Source organism: Homo sapiens, chromosome 21 (assembly GCF_000001405.40).
Source record: "Homo sapiens chromosome 21, GRCh38.p14 Primary Assembly".
Classification (NCBI taxonomy): domain Eukaryota; kingdom Metazoa; phylum Chordata; class Mammalia; order Primates; family Hominidae; genus Homo; species Homo sapiens.
The window spans coordinates 14,598,788-14,613,658 of record NC_000021.9 but is presented as its reverse complement, the minus strand read 5'-3'; the positions used below and the strand labels follow the sequence as shown (position 1 = coordinate 14,613,658).

General features: G+C 37.4%; 1 protein-coding gene across 5 annotated transcripts in view, besides 1 other annotated feature; it reads left to right on the top strand.

Annotated features, from left to right (window-relative positions):
• The window catches only part of SAMSN1 (SAM domain, SH3 domain and nuclear localization signals 1), a 174,190-nt gene that overhangs the window by 45,759 nt on the left and 113,560 nt on the right, over positions 1 to 14,871 (top strand). For all 5 annotated transcript variants that reach the window (NM_001395858.1, NM_001395857.1, XM_047440941.1 and 2 more), the window contains 3 exons: positions 746 to 783; positions 4,091 to 4,177; positions 11,560 to 11,636. In NM_001395858.1, the coding sequence (NP_001382787.1) occupies positions 746 to 783; positions 4,091 to 4,177; positions 11,560 to 11,636 (202 nt within the window). The remainder of the gene's footprint in view (positions 1 to 745; positions 784 to 4,090; positions 4,178 to 11,559; positions 11,637 to 14,871) is intronic.
• Positions 10,859 to 10,998: an enhancer, noted in NCBI's record as "active region_18276". NCBI's record gives its function as "activates an Ori minimal core promoter by ATAC-STARR-seq in GM12878 lymphoblastoid cells {active_cell/tissue: GM12878}" and the evidence as "EXISTENCE:reporter gene assay evidence [ECO:0000049][PMID:35858748]".

Genomic DNA, 14,871 nt, shown 5'->3' with positions numbered 1-14,871 from the left:
GATGTCCTAACCATTTTGCATTAAAAAATGAAAAGGAAACAAAAAATTAACAAAAAGGAAACCTTATCTATGCATGTTTTTGCTCACAATTTTGAGTTTGAAAAAATGGTAAACTCAGTTTTAATTTAATGACAATAAAGAATATCAATAGTAGAAAACACTTAAGCTATAACAATGTTAGTTATGAGATATGTGTGTGTTCACCCACACACATGAATTGATTAGCATGATCATATTTTTTTGACAGTGATATTGCTCAGTGGGCTCAGATGGTATCACATGGATCCACTGGCATAAAGTTGCCCATCAGCCTTTCAATTAGGCTTTATCAATAATTGATGATTATTTTCCAGATCTTTTATTTTATTAGAGATTGCATAATGGTTATATACAATTTACATCATTCTTTCTGTATTTATTGACATATTTATTTGCAAAAGCACTTCCCCCCTAGTAACTATTTGGTTATCCTGAGATACCTTCACGTAAAAAGACTTACTATTTTTTTCAGGTCTTATGAATATCAGTTTCTCCATATTGCATAGAAATTTACAGACCCAAATTGTACTTGTATTTACTGTAATTTGCCACCTAGGGTTAGGAAAATTCAAGACCATAGGTAGACCTCGGTTAGAGGTAGAATTTATTTCTGTTCCCAAAGTGTTGCACATATTCTAATTTCTGTTTGATTAAAATGTTATTTATTAAATCTAGACTTAAATATCTTTTTCTTTTATTCTTCCAGGTTATTCCGGAGATTTATGTCTGAAAATAAAATATTTGGTTAGTGATTCCTAAGGTTACAAGTGTAAACGATGTATTCTGTCTCCCCACAAGTTCTTTTCTCCTGCTCCTGCCACAAAGCAACAAAACTGATTAATGAAAGTCAAATTGAGTTGTCTTTGAATTATATAGAAGAACATTTTTTAAAAGTGGCTTCATTCTAACTTTAAATGGCTATGACAAAGAAATCATTGATTTATTTGCAATATTTTCCGTTTATATTTAAACAGAATAATCCTCTTTGGTAGTTCATTGGCTGCTCATCTTCCAGCTCTCCATGTGTAGCTTGGCTGCTCCGTGGTCAAGGTGACTTGTTAGAGATCATTTTAGATCTGTGAATCTAGGAGACAATAAAAAATTAGCAGAAAGTGGTTTCATTATAAAAGTCTCTTCTACAACATTTCACACACCAAATCTTCTCTTTAGTTTCTGTGATAGCATTCATAGTAATAATACATGCAATCAGTTTGGTTTGTACCTTAATTCTAAAGTAAAAATCGATTTCTATTCATTATTTTTAGAAAATTAATAGATTATCTCTCTTTTTACTTTACAGCAAATAGGGAGTCAGTAATTATAAAACATTCACAATGTGAAACATCTGGATCATCCAGTCAATAATTTTATTTATTTAGTTATTTTTAAGACGGAGTCTCACTCTGTTGCCGGGCTGGAAATGCAATGGTGCAATCTTGGCTCACTGCCACCTCTGCCTCCCGGGTTCAAGCAATTCCCCTGCCTCAGCCCCCAGAGTAGCTGGGACTACAGGCGCGTGCCATCACACCCAGCTAATTTTTTGTATTTTTAGTAGAGACAGGTTTCACTGTGTTGGCCAGGATGGTCTCGATCTCTTGACCTCGTGATCCGCCTGCCTCGACCTCTCAAAGTGCTGGGATTACAGGTGTGAGCCACCATGCCTGGCCTCAATAATTTTTTTTAATGTAGTGTGCCAAACTTATGGGTACCCTTTTCCCTTTCCTTCTCCCCAGCAGAGGAGTCAGGTGCTCATACTCATTTCATTCTTTTTTAAAAACCAATTTCCTGGTAAGATCTGAAAAGCTCATTCTGACTAAAGTGATACCCCACAATGGGTACAACTTTGAAGGATATCTGCGTTTTAATCAGGTTTCAATTCTCCCAGCAGTAGCATCTATAGGCGCTGGATCCTATCAGGGTCCTGCAGTCACTCGTTGTTAAATATTTTGAATATCAGCCCTAATTTGAATAGTGCACAGTCTTAAATAAAAGGAAGCAAGGCAACATTTTATTTTTCATCTAGATCCATTCTCAGTCTATTCTGCATGCACATACAGTACAACCAATATTTCTATCCTAACACAGTTCTTGATGATCAACTGCCTTTTCTATAATCAAAACATATGAGCAAATAGTGACTTTAGAAACAACACAGCATGCTGAGTTTGTCTTCATGCTATGCATAGGTTGCATTATTCAACATTTGTGTTATCAATGCATGATACAACATGTAGAATGATTTATCTGTAGTAAGTAATTTAGAAGGGACTCCAATTTTCCATTTGGTGCAATTCATTTCTTCACATGTCCAGGCCCTGCTTTAGATGTTGGGAGGACAAAGCTGAGCAAATCATTTATATTCCATTCAAGGATCTTAGAGTTTCTTGAAACTATCACAGCCCAATGTTCTTTCTACACAATTAGTTTGTTAGAAATGATGGAGAATCTAGAGGGTAAGGATAGTTTAACCTTTTCAGGATGCATAAAAACAATTGACTATGACCCTGTCTCTACAAAAAAAAAAAAATGTGCCTATCCTGGTGGCACATGACTGTAGTTTCAGCTACTTGGGAAATTGAGGCAGGAGGATAGCTATGGCCCAGGAATTTGAGGCCACAATGAGCTATGATCACACCACTGTACTCCAACCTGGGCAACAGAGTAAGACGCTGTCTCAGAAAAGTAATAATAATTGGTTATGAATTCAAGAAAACTACAAAGAATAATGCAATCATAAGCTATCAAGAGACGTTAAAGTAACAGCATTCTATCATATATGGTGAAGTGCCTATGTAGTTCATGGGAATAAGTGGGTAGCCCACAGGATACCTGTTGTTGTCCATGAAGGACTAGAACTCCCTGATATGGGGGAACCCGCCACCGATAATTCAACGTGTGTTATTTTCTATTTGTCTAAGTGTCAGCCAGTCTGACAAATAAAGGGAAAGAGTACACAAGAGAGAAATTTTAAAGCTGGGTATCTGTGGGAGACATCACACGTCAGCAGGTTTTGTGATGCCCCCGAGCCACAAACCCAGCAGGTTTTTATTAGCAATTTTCAAAGAGGAGGGAGTGCACGAATAGGGTGTGGGTCACAGAGATCACATGCTTCAAGGGCGACAAAAGATCACAAGGCAGAAGTTAAGGGTGAAACTAGAATCACTAATGAACTTCCATGTCCTGATGTGCATGCATTGTCACGGTTCAAGAGCAGAGAACCAGTCTGACTAGAATTCACCAGGCTGGAATTTCCTAATCCTAGCAAGCCTGGGGGCACTGCAGGAGACTAGGGCATGTTTCATCCCTATCCATAGCTACATAAGGCAGACACTCCTAGGGTGGCCATTTTAGAGGCCCCGCCCTGGGAATGCGTTCTTTTCCCAGGGCTGTTAATTATTAATATTCCTTACTGGGGAAAGAATTCAGCGATATTTCTCTTATCCATTTTTGGTAATAAGAGAAATATGGCTCCATCATGCCCGGCCCACAGGCAGCCAGACTTTAAGGTTATCTCCCTTGTTCCCAGAAAATTGCTGTTATCCTGTTCTTAAGGTGCCCAGATTTGATATTGTTCAAACACACATGCTCTACAAACAATTTGTGCAGTTAACACAATCATCACAGGGTTCTGAGGCGACATACATCCTCACCTTATGAAGATGACAGGATTAAGAGATTAAAGTAAAGACAGGCATAGGAAATCACAAGAATATTGATTGGGGAAGTGATAAGTGTCTATGAAATCTTCACAATTTATGTTCAGAGATTGCAGTAAAGACAGGCCAGGTGTAAGAAATTATAAAAGTATTAATTTGGGGAACTAATAAATGTCCATGAAATCTTCACAATTTATGTTCTTCTGCCATGGCTTCAGCCGGTCCCTCCGTTCGGGGTCCCTGACTTCCTGCATCACCTAGAACTAGAGCTCTCTTAAGATACCACTTACCAAGTTGCAAATCCTGTGCTGAACTTGTTTTGATTTCAAATGTCTTATACTTACTGGACAAATGTTACTATGAATTCTGCTAACCAATTATCTGCTTCACTTTAGAAGGAAAAACTGTGAATGACAAAATCTGGCAGGAACACAGCAAGCATAAGAATGATTCCCACATCAGAAGGCCCTGTCAGCTAAAAGGTAATTGCTAAATTTAGTTCAGCTGACTTTGCATTTTCCCAAAGTAGTTTAAAGGGCAGGTAAGAAAAATTCACATCTTCCACCATGAAAATAAGCAGACCATTATGGTCTACTTAAAAAGGAAAACCAAATAAGATAGAATAGAATATGCATTATTATAAACTATTAATATATACATGTATACATATATATATGTGTATATATATCACATAGACACATGTACAGAAAGGAAGTGGAATCTGGTTAAGTTGCCTGCTGAAGCAAATAAGCAATTGAAAAGAAAACTGAAAGTTTTAATGTACAAAAAATTTGAAAATATATTAAAAATTAGAGCACGAGAAAACTCTCTAAAGATAACATTGATATGTTAATAGTTATGTTTAAGTCTTCTTAAAAAATTTAAGAGAAATAACCTTGATTATGAATATAAAATGGAGTCATTTTATAATGTAAAAATTTCCAGGAGAGCAAATTAGGAGTCAGGTATAGAATAACATATTAATAGTATGTAATTTCATAATTAAAAGTACTTAACTTTGGGAAGGCAAGTAATAAAACAGAAAGTCTTAAGAGTTTACAAAGATGAAAAACCGTATCAAAAGTTGATCTGCTTGGTATTCACCCCCAAGTGTTATTGGAATGAGAAAAAAATTGATTATTTTAGCTATTGATGATTCAAGAGTCTAGAAATTTCACCTGGGAGTGAAGAATGGATTGGGAACCTTAGGAGTTTGCCTAGTGCCCTATTCTACTGTGGCTGCAAGACAAAGTCCTTTCACTCTCCTGTGTCCTCTCCTTATGCAGAAGGAAGGAGTCTCTCCCGAGGCTGCAAGCTGTGCTGCCTGGGATTGGGAAAGGGGTGATGAAAGCATCCCTTTGGCCACTCCTGCTGATATCTTACTAGATCATGTGCACCTCAGTTCCACTGGCTTTGAGCCCAGCACAGCACCAGGAATTGCCCAGGAATTTCAGGCCCTGTTGTCTGGACTGCCTTTCAAGTTTACTTAGGACCCCAAAGTGCTTCAGCCCACTGTGGAGGGGCTAGTCAGAATGTGGGGGCAAGTCTATATGCTCCCCCTGTAGTGGACAGCTGAATTTTGCCCTGTGTTGCTTTCCACTGTGAGAAACAGCACTGAGGTCAATGCAAAGTCCCACAATAACTTTGCTCTCCCTTCCCCAAGCACAAATATTCTCTCTCAGCACCATGAGGATGCTACCAGGAGATAGAGGAGGAGGGTGGAGTCAGCAATCCAAAACCACCTTTCCTACTTTTTTTAGTGGCTCTTTCAAGGATATGATGTTAGAACCAGGTATTGTGATCACTCACCTCATTTTTAGTTACTTATGGAGGTGCTCTCTTGTGTGAATAGCCATTCAAGTTGGTATTCCTGTGAGAGGGATGATTACTGAGGGTTCTATTCAGCCACTTTGCTCCACTTCCCTCTCTATCATGTTTGGATTGGACTCTGTCTTTACCACATGGATGCCAGCTATATGCATCCACACCTTCAGTCAGTTAATCAAACATTTGTCTATCAGTTTCTCTATTCATCCGCCATTCCATTTATCTATTAATCCTTCTATAAGCACATGTTGTATTTTAGATTATTGTATGTTGATCTATGGATAAAGAAGGTATAATGGTGTTACAGATTATTTTAGATGTAAATTTTTCCATAAATTTCTTCAAGCATTCTATTTCCTAAAACTACCTTTCTCTTATGTATGTTTTTGTTTTGTTTTGTTAATTTGGGAATAATAGGCACGGAATTCTATTATAGCTACACTGAAAAAGCAGCAAAGAATCCTGACCTTAGATGAGTTACTTCTGGTTGCTTTGTCAGAGAAGGAAGAAAGAAAGGCTTTACAGAATTTTTCCCAGCTTTGATATTTCTCAGGGTCTTGAGTGACCATGCATGTTCAGCGAGTGCGTGTGCATGTGTGTGTCCAAGAACCTCAGCAGACATTTCAGTAGTAGCAGTTGAGTCACTGGACATTTCCTAGAAATTAATGCCATGCTAGGAAGAGTTGATGGCCAGAGACCAAGGCTGTCTGTAACATTATAAATTGAAGGGAGAAATTCAAGACCACAAGTTGTAGGCTCAAATTTTATGGGTATAGTGGTTTCATTTGGAAGGCTCAGAGTATTTCTAAGTAATTAGTGACCTATGTATCAACCTAAAATATTTCTTTCTCATTTTAAACACTCCTTTTTAGCTGTTAATTGCATAACTACTTAAGAGTAGTTTCCTGTGCCTGAGGATAGGCAGTCTGTGGAGTTCAGTGAGATAAAGATAGGAAAGTACATCATTGCTGTCATCCACAACCCACATGATTTTATTAGATACTAATGAAATTGTAAAGATGGCTTCAATAAAATAGAAGAAAATATATAGGGAAATAAACTGTAGGAGTGACATTAACTCCTAAGCAATCTTATAAAATTCAAGGCCAAAAAAAGTAATTTTCCTCAATTTCAATTTCAAAATGATATTTCTACATTAACACATTATATTAATAGCATTTCAGCCCTAAAGAGTATTGGGACCTGATGAAAAAATTCCATAGGCTATATTTAGCTAAGATTTCTGTCTGATGTATTAATCCATAGCTCAACAACATGACTGTACTATATAGGTTAAGACCAAATTTATCAGAATAAGCTGAGTTCCAGATGCAAAATATTTTTAGTTTATCTAGTCCATTTCCTTCTTCTAAGGAGATTTTTATCTAAGCCTACATCTGTTCTATTAAAAGAGACTACATCTGTAAAATAATGTAGAATAAATTGAATGCTTAGGACTTTACAACTAAAAAATTGGCATAGCTTAGGTGTGAGGAGAAATTAATCTATAATTCAGGTTAATTGTTAAATTTTCAGCATCATAGATAGGAAGAATATTTATAATATTTATTTTAGTAAGTTAAAGTCCATTTTAAAATATTTAAATTTATTTTGACTTGAGTTTATAAAAAAGAATTGAGAAGAACAAACTTTTGAATCTGTGAATTGGAGTTTACCTAAGATTAAGTTATGATTTAATTAAAGATAATTTCAAGAACAGAGTTTTCATATTTTATACCAGAAAGTACAAAGAATAAAAATAAATCAACATTTAAAAAATAATAAAAAGGAAACAAAACATATTTGGAGATTCAGAAATTTTTCAATCAATCAGTGTAACTGTGACAGACTATTCCACAAGAAAAAGCTGGGGAAAAATGGCATATGTTAGTAAGGGAAGTGAGGGACCAGACAAAGTCAGAAAACAATGTTAGTAATAAGAGAAACATTAACTTCATCTATACTGCTGCAAACTTACTTTAAAAATAAATCTTCTTGACCGGGCGCAGTGGTTCACGCCTGTAATCCCAGCACTTTGGGCAGCCGAGGCGGGCGGATCATGAGGTCAGGAGATCAAGACCATCCTGGCTAACACAGTGAAACCCCGTCTCTACAAAAATACAAAAAATTAGCCGGGCGTGGTGGCGGGCGCCTGTAGTCCCAGCTACTAGGGAGGCTGAGGAAGGAGAATGGCGTGAACCTGGGAGGCGGAGCTTGCAGTGAACCCAGATCGCGCCACTGCACTCCAGCCTGGGCGACAGAGTGAGACTCCATCTCAAAAAAATAAATAAATAAATAAATAAATAAATAAATAAATAAATAAATAAATCTTCTTTACATATGGCTTAATGAGATTAATTATAAAAGGAGGAACCCAGTGGGAAAGAAGAGGTGTTCTTAAGGCCTTCTACTCTAGTCCACCATTTGAATTACCATTGGTTTGAAACCTAATTTCTCTCCTGAATTCTAGTCAATATCATTTGGCCAGCCTCTTCAATGTAAGCATATAAATATTTTGGCTTAATTTTTCAAGATCTTATTAATTATTTTTCTTTGTTGGTCTGATGCCAAGTAGCTTAATTTTAAGATGGCAAAAGATGGTATAAATTCACAAATATATTCACCATTCTGGTTAATTTTCAGGAAACACACATTTAATTTTAGAAAAACTTGTTTCCTAAGAGCAGGTAATTTAACTCTGGCCAAACTAGACTACATGAGGAATACCAGAGGGAAGTCCTACTTCATACCTCTAAATGCTTGCTTACAAGATGGGAATAAACTCCCTGAGGAAAGGGTACCCACTGCATGGTGTGATGCCTCATATAGCCGAGGAAGGCTTTCTGAATTCAACGATGAGACCACTTAGACTTCTAGTGTTTTATACAAATGAATCTTAGGATCCTTCAGTTCTTCAGAGGAGTTCTTCCTGAGATTATGGTTGCCTATTTGAAAATTAATATGGTCAGAAGTATCTATGCTAGAATAACCTAAAAGCTGATTAGAAATAAAAACTTTTTTACATCATCCCTTGCTGCCTCTGTATTTGAAGGGCACTTGTAATCTCAATTTTTATGCTGGATGGCATATTTTTATGCACATTGATGTTGGTAATCTACCATGTAGTTCATGCATGTTCTGATAATCTATTGTGGCAAACAAACCATTCCAATAGTTAGTAGTATAAAAGAACATCTTATTAGGCTCACACACTTGCAGATCAGTAATTCATTTGGGGAACTGGTTCACAATGTGATGTCTGAGGCTTCATTTGGGAAGACTTGAATGACTGGGGAGGACTTCGACATCTGGTAGCTGGAGTCATACAGAGGCTCCTTCACTTACATGTCTGACAACTAGTCTAGGTTAGGCCCGGCTCAGCCGGGCAGCCAACTACAGAACATGTATGTGGCCTTTTCATGTCACTCCATCTTCTCCCAGCCTCAGGGTTGGGTTTCAAGTGTGTGCAACATTCAAGGGAGCTTCACACATCACAGGAAGAAGCATCAAGGAATGAACATCCCAAGAACCCAAGGTAGAAGCTGCAAGGTTTCTTGTTTTGTAATTGTTTTTTTGTTTTTTTGCTTTTTGAGACAAGGCCTCACTCTGTTGCCCAAGCTGATCTGAAACTCCTGGCCTCAAGCATTCCTCTGCCTCAGCGTCCCAAGCAGCTGGGATATAGGTCCTCCACTGCCCCCGGCTTATACAAGGCTTCTTTAACCTAACCTTGGAAGTCACAAAATATTACTTCCACTGCACTCTACTGTGACAAGTGAGTCACTAAGATCACCCCAGAGTCAACAGGAGAAGAATTAGACTCCATTTCTTGATGGAATGGGAAAGTCACTTTGCAAAAAAACACACGGAATGGGAGGCATGGTTGTGGCCAACTTTGGAAAATATAGCCTGCATATTGTCTAATTCAACTCCTGCCTTTGCTGCTACTTAGGACCAAATAGATTCTGTCTTTATAAAACATTTTTGGAGAGTAATATTTGGGAATCATAAATAAACAAAAACGTGTAAGACCAGACACCAAAGGTTTAAGTGTGCCTAATTTAGTCCCAGCCCTTAAAGGTCCCCCATTTTTTACAGCAGGGGCTGTAAAATGGTACCTCTATAGCTGAATTTATTCAGAAGAAAAGCTTGTTTGGGGCCATATGGCGTTTTAAAAATCAGGAAATTTTACATTAAAATCCGTATATTTGTATATCCTTGAAAAACATGAGGGAAATTTCCAATCCAGGACCCAAAGTCTCAGGTGACTTCAACTGAGAGAGCTCAGAGCCATGGCTACTCTTTAGCTGTGGAGCTGGATTTTAAGCTCACTGTAGAATTCCCATTGCCTTCTTGATCTAATTAACTTCATTTAGTTATATATTTGATTCCTGTAGATATTTATATTTACAACATTGGTCTAATGGTTTATGCCCAAATTCTTCCATCTGGTACTCAGGGCCCATTACAATTTGGCCTCAGTCACCTATCCAGCCCTACCTCCTCTTACTCTATATCCAGAATTGCCCTCTGGCCTAACCAGCCTCAATCTCTACACTTAATTAAACATGTTCCGTTTATGCTGCATAATAGGCCAGGGTTCATGGAATCACTGCTATATTTACACCTTTTCCTTTCCTTCCACTTTTTCAAACTGTATCCATTCTTCAAGCTTCCATTCTGGCCTTGTCTCTTCCACAAGTTCTCTGAGTCATAGTGGTCTCTCTCCATAGTATTGTGTGTGAATCACTCATTTTTCTGCCTTGTGTTGTTATGAAAGTGCATTGCACATATTCGTATCTTATTTTCTCAGCTTGATTCCAGATTCTAGAACACAGGAGGCCACTTTACTGTTCTTTTTCTACACCTAGAAGAATGCTTATAGAAGGAGTCATTCAAAATTCCTGTAAAAAGGTGACTAAAAGAGACAAGATGGAAAGGAATAAGAGGGGAGGCAATATTTTTTTTTCCCAGTTCAGAAACTAAAAACCAAGCTGCAAAAGCTCAGCTTCTAGCAGCCTGACCCTGTGACATAAATTCTTGATTCAAAGAACCAGATCAAAAAATCAGCTCAGTTTAAAATTTAGGTACTTTCTGGAATTCTGTTGTATGGTTACTCTCATTTTAAATATTAAGTTATTGGTGCAAATAACTTTGAGACTGAGCTGTGAATTTAACATATCTTTTAACTATAGCTATGATGGAGATCTGGAGAAAAATCTGCACCTATTTATCACTGTGCATGGAGGATAGGACTTGCCTGTCCCTGCTTCCACTGCAGAATATGAGAATGAGGAATAGTAGAAAACTGAAGCAATGGTTGCAAGTAAATAGGAGTGAAAGTGAAAGGAAACGGCCCTGGTCTGCTGACCAGGTGATGTTGGGTTGCACTCTCCTTATCTGTAAAATAAGAGGCTTGGATTAAGTGACCCATAAAGTCTTGTCCTCTTTTAACATACCATATATTTCAGACTTAAATAAATGAAGCTCCCATTTGCAGGAGCTAAAAGGGAAGTGCTGCTGCATTTGAAAAGGTTTCATTTAGCTGCAAGCAAATGGATGCTACATTGCAAAGCTTTCACTAAAGCATGCATAGAACAATTTCAACATAAATAATTCATGTTGAGAAGACCTAAGCTAATGAAGCTCAAAATGCCAGGGGTGGAAAGCTTAGTTTAATAGAAACAGGTGAGGTGATAACTGCATGGAGTCATAGCATGTTGAAGTTAGAAGTGGCTTTTGTAGCTAGTCCACAATCCTATTATTACCAAGAAAGGGAGTCACAGTGAATTTCCATCACTTCCTCAGGGACACAGATGGTCAGCGGCATCCCTATTTTGTTAAATTTCTATTTTATTTTGATCTGTTTCTTGTTAAAAAAAAAGAAAAATAGCATATATTTAACAAAAAAAAATATTTTTGACGTAGCCAATGTAATGTCTTACAGACTAAATAAAAACATGAGTGTTAAATTGCACCGAAACTTCCTAAATCCTGTAATGTCTGATATTCTGTATGTAACAGTTATCTCTTTTCTTAGATCTAAATGAAGATGATTTTCTAAGTAACAACATACATACCTATCAAGGAAAAACTCTACAAGGAACTTCCTATCAGGTAATGTGAATAATCAGCATTTGCGTGTTTTGTGAAAATCGTCTTGTTACTCAGCTCTGTAATATATTAGGCATAGTGTACAATACTTACACAGCCTTTTAGCTAGTTTCTATTTAGTTATTATAGGTTGCTTTATAATTGATATGCTTATGTCCCTGTGAATTGAAATATAAATGAAAAAAATTCAATGATGATAAGATAATAAACTATTTTGATTTTGCAAAACATCATGTTGTACAGCCTTTTGATAAGTAACTCTGGGAATATTAAATTAATATACTGGGATGTTCCTGTCAAGACCTATGCTAAACACTTATATAAAAACATAAACTGTGAGTCCTGACCAATCCCTTTCAAAACTGCATTAATTAGCCCAGGAGTTTGGATAATTAAAAAAGTCTGAATGTTTGGCCTCACTAATAATAGTAATGTAACATTAATCAATGGCCAAATACTTGCTATTCACCCTGTAACAAGAGAGGATATATGAGTCAACAAGGCCAATTCAGGCATCAGACTGACTTTTGATATTTTCTCTGACAGCCATGAGGTTCTCTTTAATCATTCTGATAGTTTCATTAGAAAATTTAGAACTGAACTTCTTCGGTGCAGTGGATAGAAGGTACATAGCATATGAATTATAAAGTGCTGATTTGGTGAGGAAGGGGGGGCTCACATTCCTAAATCCAGCCTGATTCCTGAGGCTATTGGAGGCCCTCCAATAAATTAGATGGTAGATCATGATTTTGATCCACTAGAGTTTCTGCTGACTGCTCTGATGCTACCAGAGTGATAGGCCTATGCTACAAGATGTGATAACACATTGCCCTTGTAGTATCTCCCAGTGGGTTCTCCCACAGTGCATGGATGAGAGCTCTGATATCAGACAGAGCTCAGTTTGAATCTTGCTTTGACTGTTAGTAGCTATGTGGCATTGTGCAATTTACTTAGACTCTCTCTGCCTCTGTTTTTATCATCTGTAAAATACATCTATAAAAAATATCTCAGTACTTTCATGGGATTCAGTGAGACCTGTCATTAAAACACTATAGTTCTATGTCTGGTAGTTAAGACATACTTTCAAAAATTCATTTGTTGTCATTGCTCCTCCTCTTTTCTTCCTCTTCTCCCTCACCCTCCTTCTCCTCTTACTCTTTCAAGGGCTTAATAAGACTTGCACAAGCACAGCTGGAAGATTATCTCTGAAACAAGCAGTCTCATTTTCCTAAATTCAGATGAGACCTCAGATATAATATCTAAGTGAAGCATTGTCTGCTGGCCAGGAGAAAAATAACAGCTGGTTTACTGGAATAGCTCACTAGACATGCCTTCTGCCAAGAGGAAATCCTTCTGTAGGTTTTTCGTAGAAAAATAGACCCGTTTCGTGGAAAGAAGAAAGTAACATAGAAAGTTCTTTGAATAAAATGGTTAAAGATAAATCTTTACCCTAACAACAATGCTTCTGAAGGTTAAAATTGGGCAAGAAATGGTGCTTCCAAATGGTAACCATTCAACTGTGACATGTAGTGTATCACTAAAGATCGAAGGAATTCATACCTAGTGACAGACAAGCAGGAGCCATCTAATCTAAAAATCGTCGTTTGGGAGTAGGCACTGGTCTTATCTAAATTTTATTCACAGTAGACATTCAATTGAATTTAACTAAGAAACACTTATCTATATGACAGAATAGTTTAACAAAGAGTGTTATGCAAAATATTAATTTATTAACTCCTTGTGACTGAGGAGAAGGAGATGCAAACTATCTGTTGAAAGATGGGGAAGAGAGGCAGCCACTGTCAAATGGAGAAGCTGGTGTGAGTAGCAAAGTGGCTTGTCAGTGTGCATAAGAGTGGACTATGGCATGAAACTTGGCCTTCCATCAGTGAACAAATGACTATCAGATAAGTGTTTTTCCAAGTGTATCTGAGAACTGTCTGTATCAGCCTCAACTGGAGTATTACTTAAAAAGGCAGACTTTGGTGCCATACTCCTGTTCACCTGGATCGTCATGACTGGAGCCTAGGAAGTGGTATTTTTATGTGACAATATTCAGTACACAAACCATGAAACTCTTGAATTCAAGAGAGTTGGTGAGTGTCTTAGTCCATTTTGTGTTGCAATAATACAACACAAAATAAAGAAACAATAATAAAAACAAAATAAAGAAATACTTGAGACCGGGTAGTTTATAAAGAAAAAGGTTTATTTGGGTCACAATTATGATGGCTGGAAAGTTCAAGATTGGGCATCTGCATTTGGTGAAGGTCTCAGGCTGCTTCCACTCATGGCTGAAGGTGAAGGGGACCCAGAGATTCCAAGGCAAAAGAGGAAGCAAGGCAGGGAGAGGTGCACCCCTAGCTCTTTGAAACAACTGGCTCTCGCAGGAACTAATAGAGTGAGAACTCACCACTGAGGGAGAACATTAACCTATTGTAGAAGGATTCAGCCCCATAACCCAAACACCTGCCATTAGGCCCCATGTATTAGTCCTCTCTCACAATGTTATGAAGAAATACCCGAGGCTAAGTAATTTATAAAGGAAAGAGGTTTAATTGACTCACAGTTTTGCCTTGCTGGGGAGGCCTCAGGAAACTTACAACCATGGCAGAAGGCTAAGGAGAAGCAGGCACCTTCTTCACAGGGTGGCAGGATGAAGTGAGTGCAAGCAAGGGCAATGCCAGATGCTTATAAAACCATCAGATCTCATGAGAGTCACTCATTATTATGACAGCAGCATGGGGGAAACTGCCTCCATGATCCAGTTACCTCCATCTGATCCCGCCCTTGACACGTGGGAATTATGGGGATTACAATTCAAGATGAGATTTTTTGTGAGGACACAATGAAACCATATCACCCCACATCCAATATTGAGGGTCAAATTTCAACATGAAGTTTGGAAACAACAAACGTCCAAATTATAGCCATGAGTATTTGTTCACAGATGGGATATCTCATGATTTTGACTTTATAAACCCAAACTTGGCTTAGGTATGGTCTTGGAAGACAACAGCCTCATGGAAAAAGTGAAGTTTATTTTTGTTCCCTATTATGAAGATGATATAAATTCATTGTAGAATTTCTTAAAACTATGTATAAATAGAAAGAGTTAAAATAATGAATAGTATCCTAGTGCAAATATTTTCCTATGATCATTTCCTGAATATTAGTAACATGGGATAAAGTTTGTAGAATGTAAAACATTTTATAGTTATAATTATCATATGACCAT